The 24967-nt window shown below is 60.3% G+C and overlaps 1 protein-coding gene across 2 annotated transcripts, besides 4 other annotated features; it reads left to right on the top strand.

The window, feature by feature from the left end:
- Positions 6077–6186: a silencer, noted in NCBI's record as "silent region_19601". NCBI's record gives its function as "represses an Ori minimal core promoter by ATAC-STARR-seq in GM12878 lymphoblastoid cells {active_cell/tissue: GM12878}" and the evidence as "EXISTENCE:reporter gene assay evidence [ECO:0000049][PMID:35858748]".
- Positions 15526–15735: a silencer, noted in NCBI's record as "silent region_19600". NCBI's record gives its function as "represses an Ori minimal core promoter by ATAC-STARR-seq in GM12878 lymphoblastoid cells {active_cell/tissue: GM12878}" and the evidence as "EXISTENCE:reporter gene assay evidence [ECO:0000049][PMID:35858748]".
- Positions 15751–16649: an enhancer, noted in NCBI's record as "H3K27ac-H3K4me1 hESC enhancer chr8:143695033-143695931 (GRCh37/hg19 assembly coordinates)". NCBI's record gives its function as "activates a minimal SCP1, AML or CMV promoter by ChIP-STARR-seq in naive and primed H9 embryonic stem cells {active_cell/tissue: H9 hESC(naive and primed)}" and the evidence as "EXISTENCE:reporter gene assay evidence [ECO:0000049][PMID:30033119]".
- ARC (activity regulated cytoskeleton associated protein) lies at positions 15842–19272 on the top strand. 2 transcript variants are annotated; one of them, NM_015193.5, is made up of 3 exons: positions 15842–17837; positions 18069–18213; positions 18464–19272. In NM_015193.5, the coding sequence occupies exon 1, from the start codon at positions 16050–16052 to the stop codon at positions 17238–17240; it is 1191 nt and encodes a 396-aa protein (NP_056008.1). In that variant the 5' UTR covers positions 15842–16049; the 3' UTR covers positions 17241–17837; positions 18069–18213; positions 18464–19272. The 2 variants fall into 2 exon arrangements, with proteins under 2 accessions (NP_056008.1, NP_001399781.1); NM_001412852.1 differs by having other exon boundaries at positions 18069–19272.
- Positions 21206–21933: an enhancer, noted in NCBI's record as "H3K27ac-H3K4me1 hESC enhancer chr8:143689749-143690476 (GRCh37/hg19 assembly coordinates)". NCBI's record gives its function as "activates a minimal SCP1, AML or CMV promoter by ChIP-STARR-seq in primed H9 embryonic stem cells {active_cell/tissue: H9 hESC(primed)}" and the evidence as "EXISTENCE:reporter gene assay evidence [ECO:0000049][PMID:30033119]".

Below are 24967 nucleotides of genomic sequence, written 5' to 3'. Positions count from 1 at the left end.
GGGAGAATGATTACACTGATCATGGTATTAACAGTTACACAGATGATGAGTATGGCCACAATGGGAAGTTGGGCCTGGAGCGTATTGGTGTTGAAAGTGACGGGGGTTGTAGTTTCATTGTAATGGGGTGATGATAAAGATAAAAGTGAGGGCAATGAGGATTATGTTAATGAAGATGATGATGGGAAAGATGACCATGCTAGCGCTGACGATGATAATGATGATGATCGTGTTGAGGTGGAGGTGATATTAATGGTAGCAATGATGGTGACGGTGTTGTAATGAAGGTCATGAGAATGACAGTGGTAAAAATGGTGATAATCATGATAGTGTTGTTGAACTCATGAGGATGATGGTGATGATGGTTGTGATGGTGATGCTGCTGCTGCTAATAATAATGGTGTTGATATCACTATCAATTATAGTGATAGTAATGACTGTGATGATGACAGTGATAGTGATGATGATGGTGATGATGGCAATCATGATGATAGTGGTGGTGGTGTTGATGGTGATGGTGATGATAGTAATGGTGATGGTTATGATGGTGAAGATGATATTATCCATCATAGTGTTAATGATGGTGGTGGTGATGATGATGATGGTTGTGATGGTGAAGACAATGATTATATTATTATCCATCATGGTGATGATGATGGTGGTGATGATGATGGTGATGGTGATGATGATGGTGATGGTGGTGATGATGATGGTGATAGTGATGATGAAGATAATGATGGTGATGGTGATGATGGCAATGGTGATGATAATGGTGATGGTGGTGATGGTGATGATGATGATGGTGATAGTGATGATGGTGAAGATAATGATGGTCATGGTGATGACGATGATGGTGATGGTGGTGATGGTGATATCACTATCAATAATAATGATAGTAATGATTATGATAATGGCGATGCCGATGCTCATATGATGGTAATAGTTATGATGGTGAAGACAATGATGATATCATTATCTGGGATAGTGATGATGATGGTGAGAGTAATGACAGTAATAACCATCATGGTGATGTCAAAGGTGATAGGTTGGGGGTGGTAATTGAGGGCATTTGTGTCAGTGTTGGAATTGGTGGTGGTGGTGACATTTGGTTTTGGTGGAGGCAATGAGGGCGTTGGCCAGGTGGGTGTCATGGGTGGTAATGATGGTAGTGACTATTGACTGTCAGGCTCTGAGGCCACAAGTGGACTGACAGCTCTTCCTAAAACTGGCTTAGCTGACTGTCTACAGATTTAGACCATGCCTTCTTCGGGGCTGTTGTGGGCTGGCAGGGGACATTCCCTTTAGTTTCTGAAAGGCTGCCTTCCATGGAGGCTGTGGAATGGACTCAGGCCCCTCCCTATCAGCCCAGAAAGAGAGACCAGGGCTGAGGGCCGGTATGACCCATTGCCAAGGCAGTTTTCGTCTCTCCGGCCTCTTGTAGGCATTTGTGGGAGAGAGAGTGTTGTTTTCTCCAGAGTCAGGATGGAGTGGAGATGACAACCCCATTCCTGGATGTTCCACTTGTCCTCAGATTGTACCCTGGGCAGGTGACATGGCTTAATGTTCCCAGTGTCCATTGAAGAAATCTGAGGCCAGAGAGGGAAAGTGACCAGGTTGAGCTCAAAGCTGAGTCCCTGCTCCTGAGACCTCCCTTTCCCAGGGACCTCTCTGTCTGGGGCAAGCCCACCTTGTGTGGCAGGCTCTTCCCTAATTGAGGAGTCACACTCCTGGATTCTGTGCCCACTTCTGCCCCCTCCTCTCTGGGGGCCCCTCCCTGCCTCAGCAGGCTCACCTGTAAGGGGGAGGGGGTCCAATACCTGTACAGTGCTTCTGCACGATGCCTTTTCTTGGCGGGTCCAGCCAAACCTGAAGAAAGGAGGGTGGGAGAGAAGGAGAGAGAGGGAGAAGGAGTCAGAAAAAAGTATAATGAGTCATTGGTTCAGCTGGTAGGTGGCTTGGGCTTCCAAGCAGATAGTCGCAGAGAACAAGATTCTGTGCCAGTCTCCAGTAGGACGGCATCTGCCCCTCCCATTGATGAATAAAGCCATGCAGTAATGTCACTCGGCACTGTCCATAAGCATGCCACTCTGCTGACTAATTCTTTTTAATTAGAAACAAGAAGGGCAAAAAAGTGTTGTCCTTGGGAAGCTTGACAAGCGTGGGTTTCAGAGGCTGAGCTGCTGCTGCCCACCACTGCTCCTGGACTCTTGGGTTCCCTCACCATCCTGGAAGTAGAGCTCAGCCAGGGCTAAGTCTCAGATTCAGGCTGGGTGGTTCTGGGTCCCCCTAACTTGGCAAGAGGCTCAGCAAAGCAGCCTGGGAGTGGGGCAGCTGCTGTTCTCGCCCCTGGTGAGGTAGATGGGTATGACACCTGCACCTGCCCCCCAGCAGGCTCACTGAGTATCCCCGGTGGGGGCTGGGCCAGGTGCTGGTCATTCAGGCATGAGCAGGGCATGGTCTATGCCCTCAAGGTGCTCCCGGGCTGGTGGCACAATGAGCATTCAGGGGTGCCCCAGGTCTGTGGGAGCCCAGGGCAGGAAATGTGTCTGAGTCAGAGGGCATCCTCCATGCAGGAACTTGGAGCTGGCCCTTGGCGGACACAGGAGGAGCCTCAGGAACAGACATGGTCTGCAGCACCCTTGAAGTGTTCCTCATCGCCCCCATAACCTCCTGCCAGTCTGCCTGTGCCATATGCCTGCTTGGGCTGGGAGAGGCTTGAGGGCTGTGGAGTTTTCTCAATAGGAGACCCAGCCCAGGGCCAGTGCAAACCCATACCCAATGATAATCATTGTAATAACAGCCGAAGAGTGACGTGGAACAAGCGCTTTGTGTGCCAGGCTCTGCCTGACCTAATCCTTGCTGTCCGACTGCCAGGTGGGCGCTGTCACCACTGCGATGATTACTGCAGCACAGGCAGGTTCTTGATTGTTGCTCAGCAACTTCACACCGAGAAGATTGAGAGTCAGAAGTCAGAACACAAAATGGCTATTTCAGCAAACACTTCGAAATTCATCAGACCCCTCAGCACTGGTAGCCCCAGAAAGAGAAACTTCTCTCTTTAGTGACAGCTTGTTTGAAGAAATGGGCTAGAAGCAAGTCTCCTCCAAGGCCAAGCTTGAAAAGCCTTCAGTGTGGCGGGGTCTTCCACACCCAGCTCTGGGTGCAGGAGCTGCTCACCAGCTGGGGTTTCATCTGATCTTTGAAACGAAGTGGAATCTTCCAGAGGCTTGGTGACAGAGCATCATCATTCTGATTGCTGGCTCAACTAAGCCATCCCATGAGCCATGCACTCTGGGAGACCCTCCACATGGCTGGGTGAGGAGATGGGGCTGCAGGGACTCACAGCCTAATCCATTGCCTCTGGAAAGCTAGGCAGCCAATATGATTTTCAGGGATTCCCTATTACAGGAAACAAGGTCTGAATTGGGATATCCTGTCCTTTCTGTGCCTTAGGAAAGTGGATTGAAAAACTTGCCCACAGACACTTAGCCAATAATGACTATGACCGGAATCTGAACCCAATACCTTACACTCAAAGCCTTACCCTCATCAGTAAAATCCATTGTCAGCCAGAAAGCAACCTGGAGTTGGGGTGCTCACATAATGAAGGTGGTGGTAGTGAGGGGGAAGTGGCAAGCACTGTGGTGTGGTGATGGTGACTGAGATGTTGATGATGGGAATAACAATGAGTAGTGGTAACAGTGGGAGGTCATGGTTATGAAGCGCTGACAGTGGAAGGTCACAGTTATGAAGGTGGTGACAGTGGGAGGTCATGGTTATGGGGGTGGTGACAGTGGGAGGTCATGGTTATGAAGGTGGTGACAGTGGGAGGTCATGGTTATGGTGTGGTGATAATGGGAGGTCACAGTTATAGGGGTGGTGACTGTGGGAGGTCATGGTTATGGGGTGTTGACAGTGGGAGGTCATGGTTATGGGGTGGTGACAGTGGGAGGTCATGGTTATGAAGGTGGTGACAGTGGGAGGTCATGGTTTTGAAGGTGGTGACAGTGGGAGGTCATGGTTATGGGGTGGTGACAGTGGGAGGTCATGGTTATGAAGGTGGTGACAGTGGGAGGTCATGGTTTTGAAGGTGGTGACAGTGGGAGGTCATGGTTATGGGGAGGTGACAGTGGGAGGTCATGGCTATGGCTGTGGGGTGGTGACTGTGGGAGGTCACGTTTGTGGTGTGGTGACAGTGGGAGGTCACGATTATGGGTTGATGGCAGTGGACACAGTGATGATGGAAATCTTTGGTGGTGCTGGCTATGACAGTTGCATTGATTAATAGTTGAAGTGGTGGTTTTGCTGGTGGTGGTAGGACTGCCTGGGGTAGTGGGGGAGAAAATGAGGTTGGTAGAGGTGGAGATGATGATAGGAAGTTTACCAGTAAGATGGTGGGTGTGGTGGGGATGTAACGGAGTTCCTGGATGGAAATGTTGGTGAAGAATGAACGTGGGGTGCTGCTCGTGGTTTGGTGTAGTGTGGAGAGTGTGGTTATGATGCTGTGGTGGAAGGGGCTGCGGTGGGGTGGTGGTGATGGGAGGCCATGGTGATGATGGTAGATGGGTGGTGATGGTGCTGATGGCAATTAAGATGATAATGGTGGCGGTGGTGGTGATCACAATGGTGGTGATAGTGCGAGGAGGCCATGCTGTTGATGGCAGTTGAGGGGGTGATGGTGGTGGTAGTGGTGATAGTTGTGGTGGTGGGAGAGTTGGTGGTTTTGATGGTGGTGATGGAGGTGATGACTGACAGTGGGGTTGGAGGAAGTGGTTGTGACAATAATTATGGCAATTCATGTGGGAACATTCAGCATTCAGGTCAGAGCCTGAGCCCCTTGTGGGAGAGCAGTAGACCTTGGTGAGCACGCCTCTGGGTGAGAATGGCATCTAGAATCTGGCCCACCCCTCCCACGGCCAGTAGCAGGGTTCCTGGGAGATTCATGGCTCCTGGAGCAGCTCCTGCTTATGAAAATTGGGCAACAGTGCACTCACCAGTGGCTATGTGCATACCTTAGCCTTCCGCCTCTGGCAAGGGTGGGCTCCTAGGGCTCCTGAGGCTGAACTGGGGGCCCTGGGGTCTCCGTGTCTCCATCCTGTGTTTTGGGGGACAGGCAACGCCTGGGCACTGAGAAGCCGCTTGGCTGCCCCCGGTTGCCCATCTCACCTCCTTCTCTCTGTCAGTCTCTGGGTCTCTGTCCCGCATATGGAAAACCTGACTTCCCAGGGCCGAGCTCAGTGTCTGGGGGAGCCTGACCTCCACCCTGAGGATCCCCAGATCTCCCAGGCCTGTGCAGACCCTGGAACGGGGCATCTCAGATCTGAGGGAGACCGTGGGTGCCAGGCAGGCCCTGGGGAGAGACTGAGGGCTCTAGGAAGGAGGAGCTCCCTGGGATGAGGGGCGGGGCTGTCAGGGCAGGGGAGGCCTGGGTGGAAGCCAAGCCACTCAGGTGCTTGTTCTCAGCTCCCTCAGGCAGGGAGGGCAGGAGGAGGGCTGAGGCTTTAGTCCTGGAGGTTTTGGAAAGGAAAGGGGCACATTCAGGTGGGGTTCAGTCTCCAGGAGTGGGTCTGGGGCCTGCAGAGGCTGCTGAGGGGTGTGGAGAGGCCCACATTTCTGGAGCTCAGTGGGGCATGCTTGTGGGGTGGGGTGCGGATCCAAGGGTGAAGCTGGAGGGGTATGCACCCCTCCCGCCCTGTGCCTTCTCCCTGACCGCCAGCTCTGGGGACAGGGTGTCTGTGGCGGTGAGACAACTGCCCCCATATTGGCCCTCACCTGCTCCCCCTCTCCTCTTGGGATCCACAGTCTGTGGGCCCAGCCTCCGTCTGGATGCCCTGAAAGGGCCTGGCCTCCCCTCTCCACTCCTCCTCTTTCTGGGGTGAGGAGAACGGCCACTGTCCTTAGGGAGGGCCGAGGGCTGGAGCCACAGAGGGACAGAAAGGGTTAGAGACCGACAGAGGGGGACAGAGCGGGACAGAGAGGCAGGACAAAGACGAGGCAGGGGCAGGGAGAGACAGGGCGGGGGGAGAGGTAGAGAGATGGAGAGACAGGGACCACTGAAAGAGGGAGACAGGGACGGCTGGAGACCGCGCGAGGCGGGGCGCGGCCAGCAGGTGGCGTGCAGGCCTCAAGGCGTCCGCTAAGCCCTGGACCCAGTACGGAGGGAGGGCTGGCAGGACCAGGCCCAGGAGAACAGCCCAAGCTGCCAAAGGCCGGGGAGCCTGAGGACGGCCTGGGGGTCCCAGAGCCCTTCCTTCAGACACCTGCACGTGGATCCAGGCTTGCCAGCTGTGAGCAGAGCAGCCCCTGCCCGGCTCGGTGCCCTGACCCAGCCTGAACTCGCAGCCCAGTTTCCTCTGCTGCCCCTGAGGCACCCTGCTCTTCTCTTGGGCGGGCCCCACCCTCAGGTGCTGCCTCTCCACTGGGGATCTGATCCCCAGTCTGACTTGGCCCAGGAAGGAACAAATGCATTTTTAGAGGACTCTGTGACATTTGAGTTTCATAGTCCCTGGAGTGGGGAGCAGAGGGCAGGCTTGGTGCACCCCCTCCTCTGTGATCTCAGCAATTCCTGACCCTTTGGGGCCTCAGAGGTCACTGGCCTGGGAGAGGGAAAAAGGGAGAGGAGAAGGCCCCTCCTGGTACCCTTTCCAGGGACAGTGAGAGAAGTCCAGTGGCTAGGGCGGGTGCTGACCCCACCCTGACCTTCCCTGACCCACCCACCACCCAGGCTGCTCAGAGGCTCAGCGCCAGCGTGCAGTGACCAGGCGGTGTCAGAGAGATGGATGCGCTTCTGCCAGCTGCCTCTCCACCCCTGGGCTCCCCCGGCCTGCCCAGGGCTCTGCAGCCCCCTCAGCCTGCCATGCCCTCCCAAGCCCCAGATCTGCCACCGGATGCACCTTAGGACCAAGATGCAACAGAGGGACATGGGCTCACATGGCCCTGGTCCTGCCCATGCAGACCACCCAGGCTTCTCACCAGTTGAGCCTCCCCAACTGGCTGCCCCACGGTCAGCTCAGAGGGTTTCCTGAGGACACCGGCCCGGCTCTTGGGAGCAGCAGATGGCAGCAGGCTGAGGACTGGCGGCCTCAGGGCCAGGAGAGCCTGAGTACAAATCGCAGCTCGGTCATTCACTATGGCCCGGGTTCCCCGGCATACCCCTTGCCTTCTCTGTGCCTCAGTTTCCTCATCTGTAAAGTGGGGTGACACTGATCACCCTCCCGGCTGTTCTGAGACTCAGCAAGGTGCCCGGCACACAGCAGGGCCCTCCTTGTCTCACCACAGGACCTCTGCTGCCACCTGCTTTTCCAGAAACACACAGCACAGTGGGCTCCCCACCCCCACCCTAGGACCAGGAAGGAGACCCTGGTAGGAGGGACCAGTGGCATAATGGCTGGGGCCCAGCACAAAATGAAAACAGAGGCCCTTTGTCCAAAAATGAATCAAAATCGCACAGTGCTAAACCCGGCACGGCTCCTCTGAGCTCAGGGACCAGCGTGACCACCCAAGCCGCCAGCCCTGTGTCCCATCACACTCCCCACTGCTGAGCCTCATGAGTGAGCTGGGGGTGCTCAGGGCAGATGCGGGCACCCATGGTGTCTGGGGATGTGGTGCTGGGACCTGGCGAGGAGGAGGCTCTGCCCTCTGGGTCTCAGCATCTCCCTCATCTCCTAGGGAAGGCAAGACCTTGGAGAGAAGCTGACCCAACTCCCAGCACCTGCTGGCGCTCAGTAGGCAATGACTGTCCCCATCTGTGAGCCCCGAGCCATGTCCAGTGCAGAGCCAACTCCCTCTGCCTCAGGAAGGGTCCCTGGGAATTTGTGGGAGCCTAAAGGGCCACTAGGCAGGGCCGGGACCTCTTGGGACAGGGGTGCCTCCCGCCGCCCTCTGCTGCCTGCCCCTCCCGTGGTGCTGTGCCCTCGTGAGGCCCAGGGCCTGGGAGCAGGGGATGGTGATGCCAAATCCCAGGAGCACAGCAGCCTGCGGTGTCATACGGGAGCCAAGGCAGGGCTGCATGACCCCTGGCTCCTGACCTCCCAGCCGGGGTCCCAGGTTGTCCAATCCTGGTAGGGCTGGGGCTGGGCGGGGGGCCCTTCAGGCCAGCACCTCAGAGAGCAGGCGGGCGGGCGGGTGGTGCAGAGTCTGCATGCGTGAGGAGCTCCTGGGCGCGTCACAGCCGCGCTATTCTCAGCGTCTCTCCTTTTATGGCTCCGGAAGTGAGCTGGGGTTGCTGGCAGCCTGGCTGGCACTGGGGAGAGATTGAAATGGAGATGCAGAGAACAGCAGGAAAGCGCAGCCATCAGGGTGGGGGCAGCGTACAGTCCTGGACGCCACCCCCTCCCTGGCACGGGCATCCTGAACCCCCAGCTCTGGGGGCGTCTGGCCTGGCCAGCTGGCAGTGAATCCTTCGTCCTGATTTTGGGGCAGCCACCCTCAGGGTTCCTGCAGCACAATCTGGGCCAGGTGGGCGTCCAGGGAGGTGTGGGGTGGGCACACGGCCTGGCTGGGGACCCAGTGTGGGGGAGCGCCAGGCTCCAGCCCCCCCAGGCCGGACTCCAGTGGCTCCTTACAAGTCCCCCTCATGCTCGTCCCCAGGTCCGTGATGGCAACCTGACACTGGGGACCCCCAGCTCCCCCTCAGCCCTGGCCCCCTAAACAGCTCTTAAACCCAGCAAAGCCACTCCCCATCTGCCTGTCCCTCTCTGCCCCCACTGTCCTCCCTTTTCCATCCTCCCCACCAGCTCCAGGCTGGCATCCTGGCCAAGGTGAGGCAGGCCCCAGACCTATCCCTCCCCTATCTCCCCTGCCTCCAGGCTCTGCCCTCTTTGGAAAGAACCCAGATGCCCCCCTGCTCCTCCTTGGCCCCCCACACCACCCTCTTCACAGATGCCCTTCCTCACCTGCCCACTGCTGGCCTCCACACCTCGGGGGTCAGAGCATCTCCAATGGAGCCAGAACCAGGTTCCGTGTGCCCAGGGCAAGCTCAGGGCACACCCCAGTAGGTGTGCAAGAGACGGGTACCCTGGCCCACCCACTCACACACACACTCACATACACACACAGTCACACACACACTCGTACACTCACACACATGCACACACACACACAGAGACATGCAGGAAGACTGCATTTGTGCTCAGGGGCTCCTCTGGTAGCACACACAGGGGAGGCCAAGGCACGCAGAAGACTCAATCAACATGGAACGAGGAGGTCAGGAAGGCTTCCTGGAGGCGGTGACGTTGGGCCCAGGTTCAGACAACACTTACAGCAAAGCCGACTCTTTATGCTTAGGCGTTAACACCAGGACGTTTGTCAATTGCACAGAGGGTGGTGGGCAGTGGAGTGGACGGGGCATTCTGGGTGGAGGGAGGCTGGTGATCCAGGGCCCATGGGCTCCTCCTCACCCTCTGCCACACCACCCAAGCTGAGAGGGACCTCAGCCTCCATTCAGTCCACTCTGCCCCTGTGGACAAGGACGTGGGGCCAGAGAGGTTGAGCGGCTTGCATGAAGTCACACAGTGCCTTGTGGAGATGCACGATGAGCGGTGCCTGGTTCTTCATCCCGTGCTCAGACCAGGCTGGAGGCACCCGCTGTGAGGCGCCTCCTGAGCTCAGCCCCGCCTGCTGTTCCTGCCAGCACACCTGTCTCCCCATGTGCACCCAGGATCTGCTCCTGCAGTGCCCAGATGGCCCTCCTCCCATGTCCCAGCGTGGGCAGTGCCAGTCAGAGGGGACCAGCCTGACCCCCCAGCAAGAGCACCCGGAAGGAAAGAGCTGGCGGTGTTCTTTGCAGAGCTCTGGGTGGGGCGACTTGCTGGTGCTGATGGGTGGCAAAGCCTGCAGGGGGCATGGTGATGCCCAACCCCTTATTTTATGGGGTGCTCTGCACCTCTTTGCACTCCACCCCCTCCCAGGGTCATGCCTCCATCTGGCTTAGTACCTGCCAAGCCTGTCTCGGGCACTTTTGTTGACGGAATGACTGATCACCGCACCGACGGGGCAGGGCGGAGCTGGAGCTTCCTGGGAGCACTGCCTCAGTGAGGAAACTGAGGCCAGAGAGGGCGTGGAGGCTTAGGGAACTCACCTACAGTCACACAGGAAATGGAAGTGTCCATGGGACACCTCTGGGAGGTTGGAGGTCTCCCCAAGACCCCAGAGACCCCAGACACACTTCCTGCCGTGGCTCTGGCCTTCCTTGCTGTGTGGCTCAGGCTAATCCCTGGCCCTCTCTGGACCTCGATTTCCCCTTCCGTGCATGGCTGGGGTGGCGGTGGTGAGGAGCGCATGTCCCTTGTCTGCCCATGGTCGGTGGAGGCCTGGGCTCTCGTGACCCCACCGGCCCTGAAGGGACGCCTGTGCAGCTAGGCCAGACTGGCTGGAAAAATACAGAACTTTCCTTGGAGGCTGGACTGGGAGGCGCTGAGGCAGGAGGCAGGAAGGAGGAAGGAGGAAGGAGGAGGGTCTGGTGTGTGGGGGCCCGGAACGAACAGGCTGCTTGTTCCAGGGACAGGGACGCAGCAGCACAGAGCCTGCCAACAGGAGAAGAGGAAGGAAGGAGCAGTTGTGGGGGGGGGGGGATGGTGGGGGTGGGGGGCAGAAAGAATGTTCCCGCAGCCCCAGGGGCTGGGGAGGCTGCAGAGGCTGCAGAGGGAGGGGGTGTCGGAGGCCCCTAGGCCCACCCGCCCTGCACCCATCTCCCACTGGCCCCCAGGCCATCAGCTTCCATCTTCTGCACCAGTGCCAGAGCCAGCCCACTCCTTGGGGCCCCTCTCATCCCTCAGGGTCTTTCCCAGCCCTTGTTGCCACCTTGGGAACACCAAGCACTGTGCCCATCACCGATGGGGGTCTCCTAAGAACCCTGCCCCATTCCACCCTGGTCCCCTCCAGGGCTCTCACAGAGGCTGTCGGGCTGCAGCAGCTATGAGGCTGGAGGTCGGGCAGCTGGGTTGATGGACGACGGCCTCAACTCTGTCACTTGCCCGCTCAGCAGCCTGGGGCAGGTCCTCCCACCCCTAAGGACCCCTGTGGAACCTGAGGCGAGAGCATCTACCTGGGTGGCCAAGCAGGAGCAGCTGCGCCCCGGCCTCTCCTCTGCCCCTCTACTTTCCCACCTCAGTCCTTTGTGCCTCCTTGGTCTTTTCCCCAGGCTCAGTCCTGGCCTGCTGTGCACCCCCCCATGCTCTGGAGGTGGACTGGGACCCTCATCCTCAGCTCTGCTCTCTGCCTACCCTGGCCCGTCCCCACTGCAGGTGGCCCTCAGGACGGAGACAGCAGGGCCCTGGTGTCCTCCAGCTGCCTGGACCCATATCCGCCAACTGCCCCTGCAACTCGCCACCAGGTCTGTGCCACCACTGCAGGAGCGACACTGGGGGCGGACGCTGGCCAGGCCTCAGAGAACAGAGGAGGTGGGCAGGGCGAAGAAGCCCCCAGAACCTCTCCTGAGGAGCTGAGGGCGGGGCCCCGGCCACTTCTCAGGCTCCAGACTGGCACTGACGAGAGGCTCCGGCAGGAACGGCTGGGAGAAACCTCGCCAGACCAGGTGGCACGAGGCCAGGGATGAGGCTCCTGGAGCCCCGGAGCTCCCGGCCACCCCTCGAGGCCTTGGCATTGCCACCCACTTTACGGATGGAAAGCTGAGGCTCAGGTGAGCAACTGTCCAATGTTTCCTGACTAGAAAGGAATGGAACAGGAACCATTCCAGCCCTCAGACCCCTCGCCAGTGTCTGCTCTGGACCAGGCCCTGCTTACACTCAGGTGTTCACCTATGGGCACCACCTGTAGGGTGGTGCAGGGACTCAGCCAGGCCAGGCAGCTGGGACAGCCTTGCCCTGTGCCTGCGAGGAAGAGGCAACAGGAAAAGAGGATACCTGGGGTGGGAGTCCAGCCTGGGAGCCCAGCGAGGTCAGAGGTCAGCAGCTCCTGCAGCCTGTGGAGCCCTGGGCTGGACAGCAAGGGACACCCGGTGGGAGCAGGTGGCTGAGAGGCTGGCCTCCAGGTCTGGCCATGCAGCCTGGGCAAGCAATGGGCACCCTGAGGGCATAGGGCAGCCTGGTTCTTCTCTTCCAGCCCCACCGGGCAGTAGATGGTGACAGATGAGGCCACAAGGCTGGGGAGTGGTCACATGTGGGGGGCGGGTGCCCGAACCAACCCCTGGGACTGCCTCATTCCTTCTCTGCTGCCGGCTCCTCACTCCACGCAGCCCACACAGAAGGGCAGCAGGAGCCCCGGAATGTGTGCAAAGGGTGGGGTGGGCAGGTGTGTGTGGCCAGCAGTGGGCAGGTGAGGAAGGGCCTTTATGAAGACAGTGATGTGGGGGGCCAAGGCAGAGTTGGGGGCCCTCTGGGTTGTTTCCAAAGAGGACAGAGCCTGGAGGCAGGGGAGATGGGGGAGGTGTGTGCCTCTGCGTGTGCCCATGTGTTTGCGCATGTGTGTGAGTGGGGGTGGGTGTGAGCTCTGGCCTGAAGGGGCCTGTGGTTGCCTCTCCCTGCTGAGCAGCGCTAACTGCCGGCACCCGAGATCAGCAGGGCCAGCCTGGGGGAGCAGCAGGATGCCCCAGGTCAGCAGCTGCCCTGTGAACGCTCCTGGCAACCCAGAAAGGCCCTGCCGGAGTGGGTCAGCCAGGGCTGAGACAGTCTGGGGCTGCGGGGAGAGAGCTGACTCCCTTTGCTCTGATCAGGCAGGAGCAGAGGCGGCTGGGCACCCCAGAAGGAGAAGGGAGGCCCAAGGCACAGGGTGGCCCCTGCCTTTCAGAGCAGGTACCCGCACGCCTCTGGGAACCTAGGTGGTGGGGGCTCAGGAACCAGCACTAAGAGGTCCTTCGAGGCTGTCGTGAGCCTGGTGGAGATCTCAACCGTGAACAGAACCTGGGGGTCATGGGCTACCCCACCCTCCCCTGCAGGACCCCTCCTCTCAGGCAGGTGGGGCCTCAGAGTGGTCAGACCTGCGCAGCAGCAGACCAGGTTGGCTTTGAGAGTGGGGATCCCCCAGGTGCTCCCAATCTCCTTGTGCAGGTCTAGCCCCCACCCCCTTCCCCTGTTCCTTCCCCCACCTGCATCCCCAAGCCATGCTGCTCCAGTGGCTGTCAGGGACGGGCACGGGGTGGGGGTGGGCTGGAGAGAGGAGCAGGGCAGGCCCCTGTCAGGAGAGGCCCCCGCCCCAGGTGGATGGGAGTCAGCCTGGCCTCCTTTCCCGAGGCTGCAGTGCGGGGGTTTGGTGAGGGCTTCTGGGGCGATAATTGGGCAGCGATTAAGCGTTCCTGGCAGCTGCGGCTGTTGCCTGTCACCGGTCAGCTCAGGCCTGCATTCACAGCCTCTGCAGACCCTGCTGGAGGGGGTTGGGGAGGGGAAGACGGGGCTCCGCGTGGCACCCCCGACGCTGCCTGCCCTCGTGCCATCCAGGGCAGGCACTGTGCTCTCCCACCGGTCTCGGCTTGGCCACTTCTGGCTTGCTGTTTAGCAGGTGACAGGGGTGGTGATGGGCCACGGGGCATTGAGCAGAGGACGCCAGGATTCCTCACCAAGGGCCTGGCTCCTGCCCAGCCCTGCCTTGCTCACCGGGCCACCTTGGGCACTCACCCTTCTCCAGGCCTGGCTCCCTCCACACAGGTGAGGGAACTGAGGCAGCGGCACCACCTATGACCTTGGCTCACGTGTCCCCAGTCCTGCCTCCTTGTCAGCTTGCTGATGCCTTGGGTGGGGGTGGCAGCTGGAGGCCACTGCTGGCCAGAGGCCTAAGAGCTGTGCCCTGGCGGGGACGTCAGAGGCCACACGGGCTTGTAAACCCTGGCGGGGCTGGCCCCTGGTCATTGAAGTGCTGGCTCTCACAATGGACACACATGCACGGTCAGTGCCCAGCACCCAGACAACACCTACAGGCTCAGGCTGGCCCCAACCCGGACATGTGGCCCTCGGTGACCGCTGGCTGCACTCACCCAAGGCTGCTGGCGTCTGCCCGTCCCGCATGTGCCCACCCAGCTCCTCTCCCTGGGATTCCGCAGTGGAGAAGCGGGAAGGTCCCTGTGCTGGAGACTTCTCTGCCTGGCTCCCCCTCCCAGCTCCGCGGTGCCCCTCCGCCCTCCCTTCTCTGTCCGCCCACTTACCTTTAATTAGAAATGCCAGGAGAGCCATTTTTGGGGAGTTTTTTTGCCAGAAAGACATTCCCCCCCAGGGGCGGAAGGAAGGAGGAGACAGACTGGCTCTGAGGCTGGGAGAGGGCTCCCCGGGAGAGCCGGTTGGGGGGGGGCTCAGAGGGTTGGCAGGGAGGGGGGATTCCAGCAAGTGGGCACCTGTGTGCCCTTGAGTGCCTGAATAAGACAGGGGATGCTGGGGGGAGCTGAGGGCTGTGAGTGGGGGGTATGAGTGTGTATGTGGGAGCTATGAGTGGGGGGTATGAGTGTGTATGTGGGAGCTATGAGTGGGGGGTATGAGTGTGTGTGGGGGCTGTGAGTGAGGGCATGAGTGTGTGGGGTGGGGTTAGAGTGGGGGCTATGAGTGTGTATGTGGGGGTGTGAGTGTGCAGCATGTGTGTGTCTGAGAGAGGGAAAGGGCAGCTGGCAGCAGGAACAAGATGTCTTGATTGTCAGCGATGATGTCCTCATGGCCCTCTGGCTGTGGGGAATGGTGTGTGTCACCCCTGCCTGGGTAACATCAGAGGACCTGAGACCCATGCCTATCCAGCCAGCACTGGAGTAACTCAGGAAGGGCGTCCCTACCCCCGCCAGGTTGCCAGGGAGGCAGAAGGGACCTCCCTCCCGAGGGAGTCTCGGCTTCCGGAGCCCCGCTCCTTATATGGTGCTTGGCTTCCCTCTGCCTCTCCTGATGGCACTGTGCTGCCAGCACCGGCCCCCCTCCCTCTCCCTCCTCGCCTCTCCTCCCTCCCCTTCTCCTTTCCCTCCTTCCACCTCCCTCCCTGTCTCCCTCTCTCCTCCCCTCTTCCATCCCCTTAGAAGTCTTGGAGCCTCTGGCCAGGTTCTTGATATAGCCAGGGTCTTCAGGGCCCAATTCCCTTCACTGGGGGCTAAATGTCCCCTCCATGTCCTCCAAACCCCAGCCCCCCAGGTAGCAGCTGCCAGATTTCCCTGGAAACACAGAAAAGTATTGGGCCTCACCAGAGACCTGCGTATGGGGGCATGGGGCAGCCCTGTCCAGTCACTGCCACGTGGGCCCCTGTCACCCATGCACACCAACGCCAGGGCCAGGCAGAGCGAGCCTCTGCCTGGCTGTGCGTCCCTCACACAGAGCCCAAGACCTGGACTCAGGACCCGGGCAGGAGTGAGTGGGAGCTCAAAGCCACATCTGGGAGCTCACATGGAGACTTGCTGAGCCCCTGGGCACAGAGGCTGATGGTGAGGGTCCTTCCCGGGCTCAGCTGCACATCCTGCAGAGCTGGGTGGGCGGGGTCAGGGGCAGTGAGGACCCAGGAGAGCAGTGGCCAGCGCCAGCCCCCTCCAGCCCCGCAAAGAGAGAGGCGAGTGGAGAGGAGGAAGGCCACCTTGGGACCCTGGGAGGCAGCAGATGACAGCCCGCCCAGCGCCCGGGAGGGGGCGTGGGAGGGGCGCCCAGTGCCCGGCTCAGTCCCTCGGTCCCCGCAGGCTGAATGAGCCCCGCCGTCCGGGGTGGGAGGTACGGAGCGGAGGGATTAGTCATCCTGGCCCCGCCATGTGTGCAGGGGGTGGGACCTCCCGTCCCTTGCCGCCCGGGAGCCGAGTGGGCGCAGGGCGGGGCCTGCAGGGGCGCGGGCGGGGCGCTGGCGGGGAGCCTGCGGCTGGGCCAATGAGAAACCGGGCTCGGCGAGCCGGCCGCCCACGGGCCTCGCTGGCTGCATAAAGAGCCGGCGGCCAGGACTCAGCGCAGAGCTCGGGCGCGGCGTCCTCCCTCCGCAGCAGCCGAGCCGGACCTGCCTCCCCGGGCGTGCTCCGCCGGCCCCGCCGCCGGCCCGCAGCGACAGACAGGCGCTCCCCGCAGCTCCGCACGGGACCCAGGCCGCCGGACCCCAGCGCCGGACCACCCTCTGTCCGCCCCGAGGAGTTTGCCGCCTGCCGGAGCACCTGCGCACAGATGGAGCTGGACCACCGGACCAGCGGCGGGCTCCACGCCTACCCCGGGCCGCGGGGCGGGCAGGTGGCCAAGCCCAACGTGATCCTGCAGATCGGGAAGTGCCGGGCCGAGATGCTGGAGCACGTGCGGCGGACGCACCGGCACCTGCTGGCCGAGGTGTCCAAGCAGGTGGAGCGCGAGCTGAAGGGGCTGCACCGGTCGGTCGGGAAGCTGGAGAGCAACCTGGACGGCTACGTGCCCACGAGCGACTCGCAGCGCTGGAAGAAGTCCATCAAGGCCTGCCTGTGCCGCTGCCAGGAGACCATCGCCAACCTGGAGCGCTGGGTCAAGCGCGAGATGCACGTGTGGCGCGAGGTGTTCTACCGCCTGGAGCGCTGGGCCGACCGCCTGGAGTCCACGGGCGGCAAGTACCCGGTGGGCAGCGAGTCAGCCCGCCACACCGTTTCCGTGGGCGTGGGGGGTCCCGAGAGCTACTGCCACGAGGCAGACGGCTACGACTACACCGTCAGCCCCTACGCCATCACCCCGCCCCCAGCCGCTGGCGAGCTGCCCGGGCAGGAGCCCGCCGAGGCCCAGCAGTACCAGCCGTGGGTCCCCGGCGAGGACGGGCAGCCCAGCCCCGGCGTGGACACGCAGATCTTCGAGGACCCTCGAGAGTTCCTGAGCCACCTAGAGGAGTACTTGCGGCAGGTGGGCGGCTCTGAGGAGTACTGGCTGTCCCAGATCCAGAATCACATGAACGGGCCGGCCAAGAAGTGGTGGGAGTTCAAGCAGGGCTCCGTGAAGAACTGGGTGGAGTTCAAGAAGGAGTTCCTGCAGTACAGCGAGGGCACGCTGTCCCGAGAGGCCATCCAGCGCGAGCTGGACCTGCCGCAGAAGCAGGGCGAGCCGCTGGACCAGTTCCTGTGGCGCAAGCGGGACCTGTACCAGACGCTCTACGTGGACGCGGACGAGGAGGAGATCATCCAGTACGTGGTGGGCACCCTGCAGCCCAAGCTCAAGCGTTTCCTGCGCCACCCCCTGCCCAAGACCCTGGAGCAGCTCATCCAGAGGGGCATGGAGGTGCAGGATGACCTGGAGCAGGCGGCCGAGCCGGCCGGCCCCCACCTCCCGGTGGAGGATGAGGCGGAGACCCTCACGCCCGCCCCCAACAGCGAGTCCGTGGCCAGTGACCGGACCCAGCCCGAGTAGAGGGCATCCCGGAGCCCCCAGCCTGCCCACTACATCCAGCCTGTGGCTTTGCCCACCAGGACTTTTGAGCTGGGGCTGACTCCTGCAGGGGAAGCCCTGGTCCAGCTGGGTGCCCCCTCGAGCTCCGGGCGGACTCGCACACACTCGTGTCATCCAGATGTGAGCACCGCACCCAGCGGCAAAGAGCCCTCCCCCCTGCAGGGCTCCACCCATCACCCTCCCTCCGTCTGTCTTTCCGGCCTGGACCCCACCCTCCACACTCTCAGGCCATCACAGAACACCCCAGCTTCCTCATTCTGCTACAACACCCAGGCCCTCTGGACATCCAGAAAACCAAGTGTCCGGATGGCAGGGGCCAGCGGCCACCAAGCTCATGGGACACCCAGAGCAGAAGCTAGGGCAGAGCCAATGCTGAGGGAGCCTCGACTTCCGGCGCCGCCGCCCTCTCCCGGCATCCGCAGAGCCAGCTGACGCCCTCCCTGCCTCCCAGGGCAGCTGGCCAGCCTCGGGCAGCGCGGCCCCCTCCTCCCAGGGGAGAGTAGAAGTCGCACACGCAGCAGAGCAGACCTGATGTCCCGGTGCTTCCTGGCCCCTCAGGTGAGCCCCTGCCCCAAGGCAGTACCGGCTGTGGGGCATCTGAGAGCTGGCGGGATCCGGAGGCTGTTTTCTAGGAGAGCCCACTGAGGCTTGGGCCCCCAGCAAGTTAGCCAAAGGGATGGGGTGGGGCTGGCATCATGGAAGGGGGCATTGGGGAGAGTGGGCCGGGTGGGAGGCAGGGGCAGTTTGCTGAGCCAGCTCTCACATGGACCCGCGCTTTCTCTCCCCCAGCTCCAGTGATTCACGCCCGCCTGGAGAAGAATCAGAGCTCAGCTCATGACTCACCCATGGCAGGCGGAGGGTCCCAGAGGGGCTGAGTCCTCAAATCCGGCTGAGGCAGCAGCTGGCACCATCAGAGCCAGGAGAGTGACAACAGGTAACGGAGCACCACCCTTCCACCCAGACCCCACCATCAGCTGTCCCGGCCAAATGAGCTCCTCCCCAGACCCCAGACACCCTGCGGCCCAGGCCACTCCCCAGTGTTCGGGCTCGCTGGGAGGCTCTGACGGGGTCGGGGGGCCTCTGCCTTGGAAGACCAGCGCCATCCACCGGCCCCAGCCCCTCCCCATGGAGCCCTGGCTACTGTCCTGCGTGGTCCTTCACTGCCCACTCTCCTGTTCTTTCAGGTCTCAAGGTTCCCACAAAGTCTTTGCTGCTGTGCTGGGCACCACCCACCCCTCACCTTGCAGGCTGCCTGCGTGGGAGGCGAAGTCCCAGGACAGCCCAGAGGGGGGCTACAGAGAGGAGTCGGCTGCAGCAGAGGGCAGGAGCCCCAGCTTAGCCCTGAGCGCCAGCGCGAGGACCAGGGCCTGCCACTAAGCCCGCCCCGCTGGCCGCCAGCTGCCCGTCCCCAGAGCCACTGCAGCAGGAGTCGGGCCCTGCCTCCCTCCCAGCAGGGAAACCCCGCCCGCTGCCAGGCCATCCTCTCTGCCAGAGGCTTTCATGAGCCCCAAGGCTGGGGCCACAGCTCCTACCCCTGCCCAGCAGCCCTGAGCTCAGCTGCAGGAAGGACATCCCAGAAGCCATGGCTCCTGGGGCGCTTCCAGGCATTCTGCCCTGCCCCGACACCAGAACCCTGGTGCTGGTGGGCCACTAGCGTCTGCAGCCTAAGCAGGTGCTGGCTCAGGGTTCATCGTTCTGCCTTGTCCACTGGGGGACCAGCCCTGCAGACCACTCTGACAAGTCTTCAGCCCACACCCTGCCAGCCCCACAGATTTTATTTTTGCACATAAGCCATAACCAATCCTCAAGGCTGGCACAGGCTTTGGGGAAGCCCTGGAGCCTGTGAAGACCCTGGAAACCTCATGAGGCTGTGGCCAACCCCTGCCCCTTGCCCCACACAGACCAGGCCTTAAATGTCGGTCCAGGCCCTGTGCACCTTACCCCAGAGACAGACTCTTTTTGTAAGATTTTGTTAATAAAACACTGAAACTTCCTGGAGTGTTCATGTTGTTTCTTCTGTGTGCTTGGGCTGGGCAGGGGTGGAGCTGCAGACACAGGTCCCCCGGCCCAGAGGGTCACCCTGGAGACCCCATGGGTGTAGTGAGAGGTCTCCGGGGGCTCGGGGGAGCACCAACAGGGCAGCCTCCATCAGGGTCCTGGATCCTCAGGGGGAAGCACCCTCAGGGATCCACACTGCAGCCCCACTACAGCCCCACTGCAGCCCACTAGGCCTAGCTCAGCCCTGCCTCCAGGCCCGAGGTGGCCATCAGTGAGGGTGACTGCTGACTGGGGCAGCCCTGTTCATGCTGAGCTCATGCCTGCCCCTCTGTAAGTCCTACTGGCACGTGGGGTGTACAGCTGGGTGCATGGGGGGATTACAACTAGGGCTTGGCCCACACAGCCATCTCAGGCTCCGGAGCCCTGTGGACCTAGTCAGTGCAGACCCCAGCTGGGAGGGGACCCTGGCCATTCCTGGTTGCCAGATCATGAACTTGGTCTCTCTGAGCCTCAGTTTCCTCATCTGCAAAGCAGGGCATCTATCCTCAGAGCATCTGTGCTGAAGAACTTGGAAACAAGGGTAACTTGATGCCCTGCGGGACATCAGCCTCCCCCGCCTTTGTGGGGACACTGGATTCCGAGGGGCTGCGGGAGGTCAGCCTCCACTGCCTTTTTGGGGACACTGGATTCCAAGAGGCTGTGGGAGGTCAGCCTCCCCTGCCTTTATGGGGGCACTGGATTCCGAGGGGCTGTGGGAGGTCAGGCTCCCCTGCCTTTGTGGAGACACGATTCCTAGGGGTTGTGGGACATCAGCCTCCCCCACCTTTGTGAGGACACTGGATTCCGAGGGGCTGCGGGAGGTCAGCCTCCCCTGCCTTTGTGGGGACACTGGATTCCGAGGGGCTGCGGGACGTCAGCCTCCCCTGCCTTTGTGGGGACACTGGATTCCGAGGGGCTGCGGGACGTCAGCCTCCCCTGCCTTTGTGGGGACACTGGATTCCGAGGGGCTGCGGGACGTCAGCCTCCCCTGACTTTGTGGGGACACTGGATTCCGAGGGGCTGCGGGAGGTCAGCCTCCCCTGACTTTGGGGGGACTCTGGATTTCGAGGGGCTGTGAGAGGTCAGCCTCCCCTGCCTTTGTGGGGACACTGGATTCTGAGGGGCTGCGGGACGTCAGCCTCCTCTGCCTTTGGGGGGGCACTGGATTCTGAGGGGAAAAAAGAGATGGCCTGGGTTAGGGATCAGCCCCTACCCATCAGTGTTCAATGAGAAACAGGACTGACAGGAGACAGGAAATTCATTGCAAGGAATTGTTTTACTCAACGTACGGGCTGCTGAGCCAGTCCAAAATCTACAGGGCAGGCCAGAACCTTGGGGAAGGGGCTGAAACAGGCACGTGAGGGTGTTATTTCGTCTGCATCTGGGAAGCCTTAGCTCTGCTTTTATGGCCTTTCAAGGGACTCAACCAGGCCACCCAGGTTCCCAAGGATGCTCTTCCTGAAAGCACCTACGACAGACCTTCGGCACAACACCTCTGTTAAGATTTGATTGAGTGACTGAGAGCAGTACCCCGGCAAGGTTGACCCTCACAACCATCATGGTCATTTGCTGCCGGAAGTTTCCCACCCCTCTGGTGGGGTTGCCCTGCTCCTGGGGATCCCGGGCCAAGCTGCGGGGTCAGCTGGTGGGTGGTGTCAGCTGAGCCCTGCTGGGAGGCCGGGTGCATTGCACCTGCAGGGTTCTGGCACTGAGCTCACTGCTCCTGCAGCAGCGAGGGGCCCTGGGAGAGCAGGAAACAAGAGGAGACTAAGCAGAGAGAGCCACCTGCTGCCAGGAAATGTCGTCACCCATGGCGCAGGGCGCTGAGCAGGGCTCTTCACGGTGAAAGGGCCGCCTCCGCCCCACTCTTCCCTTGCATTTCTTTTAAATAACAAAGCCGCTGGAAGAACCGGAGAGGAAATTGGCAGGAACAGGAAGCTGGGCACCACGGTGCTGCCTGAAAGCAGTCATTTGTCTTGGAGTACTACTTCTCACATGAAAAGCTGGAAGCTGTTGATGCTTTTCCCTTTTAGTAAAAAGTTACTCCCTGTAATTGTGGAACAGGCCATCAGAACTCTTCAGTTAACTGGAGGTGCAGCTGTGTCACTCTGTTCCCAAGGAAAGAGGCCGGAGGCTGGAGGGGTGGGTGGTCGGGGGCAGAGGGGCCCAGACCCTGTGCAGCTGTCTCTCAGCCTGAAGAACAGGTCCCAGAACAGGGTGTTCCCTGCCATCGGCCCCTCTCCACCCCTCACTGCTCCTGCCCATCTAGTTATCACAGACCACTCAGTCTCACCCCTTCACTGTAGCGTGGAGAAACTGAGGCACAGAGACGGTCCTTGCTTGCCTCAGTTTGGGGAAAAGAATTGAGTCTGGGGGTAGGAACACCCAGGAAGCCCCTAGAGGTTCTTCCCGCAGACCCAGTTTGGTGGGAGGCCTCTGAGCCAGGGAGCCCGGGTCAGATCCCCATAGGGGCAAGCGCCTTTCCATAAAATCCCGCCGGTCTCACGGAGCTGGTGTATGGGGGAGAGGGCAGACACCTGGGCCCCTCTGTTGCCTTCAAGGCTCAACCGAGTTTAAGTCTCTCAGTCCCAGCAGGGTCACTGTTGAGGGCTGGTGGTGCCACTGGGGGTTGCAGGGAAAGTGATGGGCTTGGGAGAGTGTATGAGTCACTATAAAGCAAGGTTGATATAACAGAGGCCCTGCAAATGTGGGGGGCAGTCTCCTGTCAGGGAAGCATGCAGCTGGCGGCTGGGTGCACCTGTTCATTCCAGACCTTCTGGATTTCTTGACACTCCAGGCTGCTACCCAGAAGGGGCAAGAGACGGCCAGGGGCATGCCACGATTGTAAAGCTGAGCCCAGGAACACCACGGCCCCATGTTGCCTCTGCCCCTGCCCAGTGCCAAAAGCCTGGACGCATATGGGAAGGAGGAAGGAAGGATCTAGGTAGGCAGCCAGTGAACAGAAGCCGCAATGCGTTTGGGAAGGAGGGAGGAAGGATCTAGATGGGCAACCAGTGGACAGAAGCCACACTGGAAATTGTTTAGGGTGGTGTGTGTGCAGAGTGTGACCTCGGCCAAAGATGGCCTGGCCTCTCCCCTGGGCTCCTGGGAGGTCACCACTAGGCCCTGAACGTCCGACCTGGTGAGAATGTCCTAGTCCACCTGCGGCCTCAGGCCACACCTATGGTCCTATGTGACTTCAGTGGAGGCTTTGGGCTATGTGGCATCAGCTCTGCCTCCAGAAGGGCTGGAGACGGCTCAGCCATGTGGGCGCCAACCAGGACCACGAGACAAACCCCAAGGCAGGAGCTACCTTGGTTGTTGATGTTCCATGTGCCTTGACCCACATCACTAAGGGAGGGACGGGGCCTAGCTCTGTCCATGACCCCAGGGGAGGACAACCCGGAGCTCTGTGTCTGGACCCTCCTGGGCTCTGTCCCAGGCACCTCTTTCCATTCTGGTTTTATTTGTTATATTTTTTGAGACAGGGTCTCTCTCTGTCACTCAGGCTGCAGTACAGGGCTACAGTCACAGCTCACTGCAGCCTCGACCTCCCAGTTCATGCCATCCACCCACATCAGCCTTGCAAGTAGCTGGGACCACAGGCATGCACCACCACAACCGGCTAACTTCTCCCTCCCCTCCCCTCCCCTCCCCTCCCCCCTGCCCTCCACTCCCCTCCCTCCCCACCCTCCACTCCCCTCCCTGCCACCCTCCACTCCCCTCCCCGCCACCCTCCACTCCCCTCCCCTCTCTTCCCCTCCCTTCCCTTCACTTCCCCACCCTTCCCTCCCCTCCCTTCACTTCCCCACCCTTCCCTCCCTTCCCCTCCCCTCTCCTCCCCTCCCCTCCACTCCCCTCCCCTTCCCTCCCCTCCCCTTCCCTTTTCTTTTCTTTCTGAGATGGTGTCTTGCCATGTTTCCCAGGCTAGTCTTGAACTCTTGGGCTCAAGGGATCCTCCCGCCAGGCTGATTTTAATCTACATCTTTTCCCCGTAGGAATCCACAGTCACGGGTATAATGGCTTCCAGGGGCACTGGGGCCCTCCTAGAGAATCACATCTGAGGTGGCCCCCAGGAGCCTGGGCTTCTATAGTTGGTGTCGGAAGTGAGGGTGGCGCAGTCCTGTGGGCTGTTCCCAGCCTCCCAGGTGTCAGGGCTCTTTTCTAGTTGCCAAGGGTCTTTCAACTCCAGGGAGAGTTCAGGTTAGTACAGAAACTTCATAAAGAATCAAACCTGAAATAGTATTATTTTTGTCAAGAAATTACATATGTTTTATATTTTACAGCATTTTAACACTGAAAAGAATTTGGCCAATTGGAAGCCATGGAGCACCCCACATGATGCCAACGGCGAGTGTCCAGCGATCTCCCGCTCTTCGGCGAGTGTCCAGCGATCTCCTGCTCTTTGGCCCTCTGTCTCCATCTCTCTGGGCGGAGCTGGGGGAGGAACAACAGGAGGGGGCAGGTGAGACAGGTCAAAGCTGCGTGACTCCTGTGGCTGTTGGGTGAGGAAGGGGTGAAGAGGGTGGACAAGGGGTGAAAGGCCCTTCATAAGGAGGAAGAGGAAGTTCAACAAAGAGAAACGCCAGGCATCCAGGGGCCAAGGAACCCTTCCCTTTCTGCCTTGGTTCCCGTGGGGCTGAGGTCCCAGGGTCGAGGTGGGAATCAGGAGGCTCATGCCAGGTGACATTAGAGGGCATGTTGGGGCTCAGTGCAGCCTGGTCCTGGGCTCCCCACCCCAGCCCTGCTCCCATCTTGCCCTTCCCCATAAAGTCTGTGAGGTCCAGAGGGCCCATGCTCTCCTCCAGAGGACAGACACACTCCAGGGCCTGCCCCAGTGGCCCTGCTCCCAGTCCAGGTCCCTCCCACAAGGGCACCTGAGTCTTGGGGTGGCCATCTCTCAGTGGAGAGGTGGCTGAGGGTGGTTCTTTGTGGGGATGCAGGCTGGGTGTTCACAGCCCCTCCCCATAGAGCCACCCCCAGGTGGTGGGGTTGGGAGGGGGAGGTGACAGGGAGGGCAGGTGCTGACTCTGCTATTTCAGTGCTGTTGGAGTGCTGAGCACCTGTGCCTACACACTCCCTTCCCAGAAGAATCCCGTCCAAAGACTGGACTTTGGACTTTTGAGTTGATGTGGGAATGTGTTAGGACTTTGGGGCTATTGGGATGGAATGAGAGCATTTTGTATGTGAGAAGAATGGGAGTTTTGGGGGCCCTAGGTGGAATGCTATGGTTTAAATGTCCCCACCAAAACTCATTTTGGAATTTAATAATTGCCTTGTGGCAGTGTTGAGAGGTGGGACCTGTGAGAGGTGACTAGGTCATGAGGGCTCTGCTCTCATGGATGGATTAATGTTGCTATCTCAGGAGTGTGTGAGTTATCGTGGGAGTGGCTTTGTTATAAAAGTGAGCTGTCTTGTGTGCACTCTCTTGCCCTCCCGCTTTCTGCCATGGAAGAACACAGCAAGCAGGGCCACACCAGATGCTGGCGCCATGCTGCTGGACTTTGCAGCCTCCAGAACCATGAGCCGAAGAAACTTTTCTTTATAAATTATCTGGTGTGTGGTATTGTTATAGCAGCAGAGAACAGACTAAGACACACGTATATGAACCTGCTGGGGTTCCCCATATGAAGAGGCTCCCCTATGACAGG

The sequence above is a fragment of the Homo sapiens genome, chromosome 8, assembly GCF_000001405.40.
Source record: "Homo sapiens chromosome 8, GRCh38.p14 Primary Assembly".
Taxonomy (NCBI): Eukaryota; Metazoa; Chordata; class Mammalia; order Primates; family Hominidae; genus Homo; species Homo sapiens.
Note: the sequence above shows the minus strand (reverse complement) of the source record. Positions and strands in the feature narration are given on the sequence as shown.

Excerpts from the sequence above, each read along its gene's own strand:
- ARC (NM_015193.5), top strand. The coding sequence starts at position 16,050 with ATGGAGCTGGACCACCGGACCAGCGGCGGGCTCCACGCCTACCCCGGG.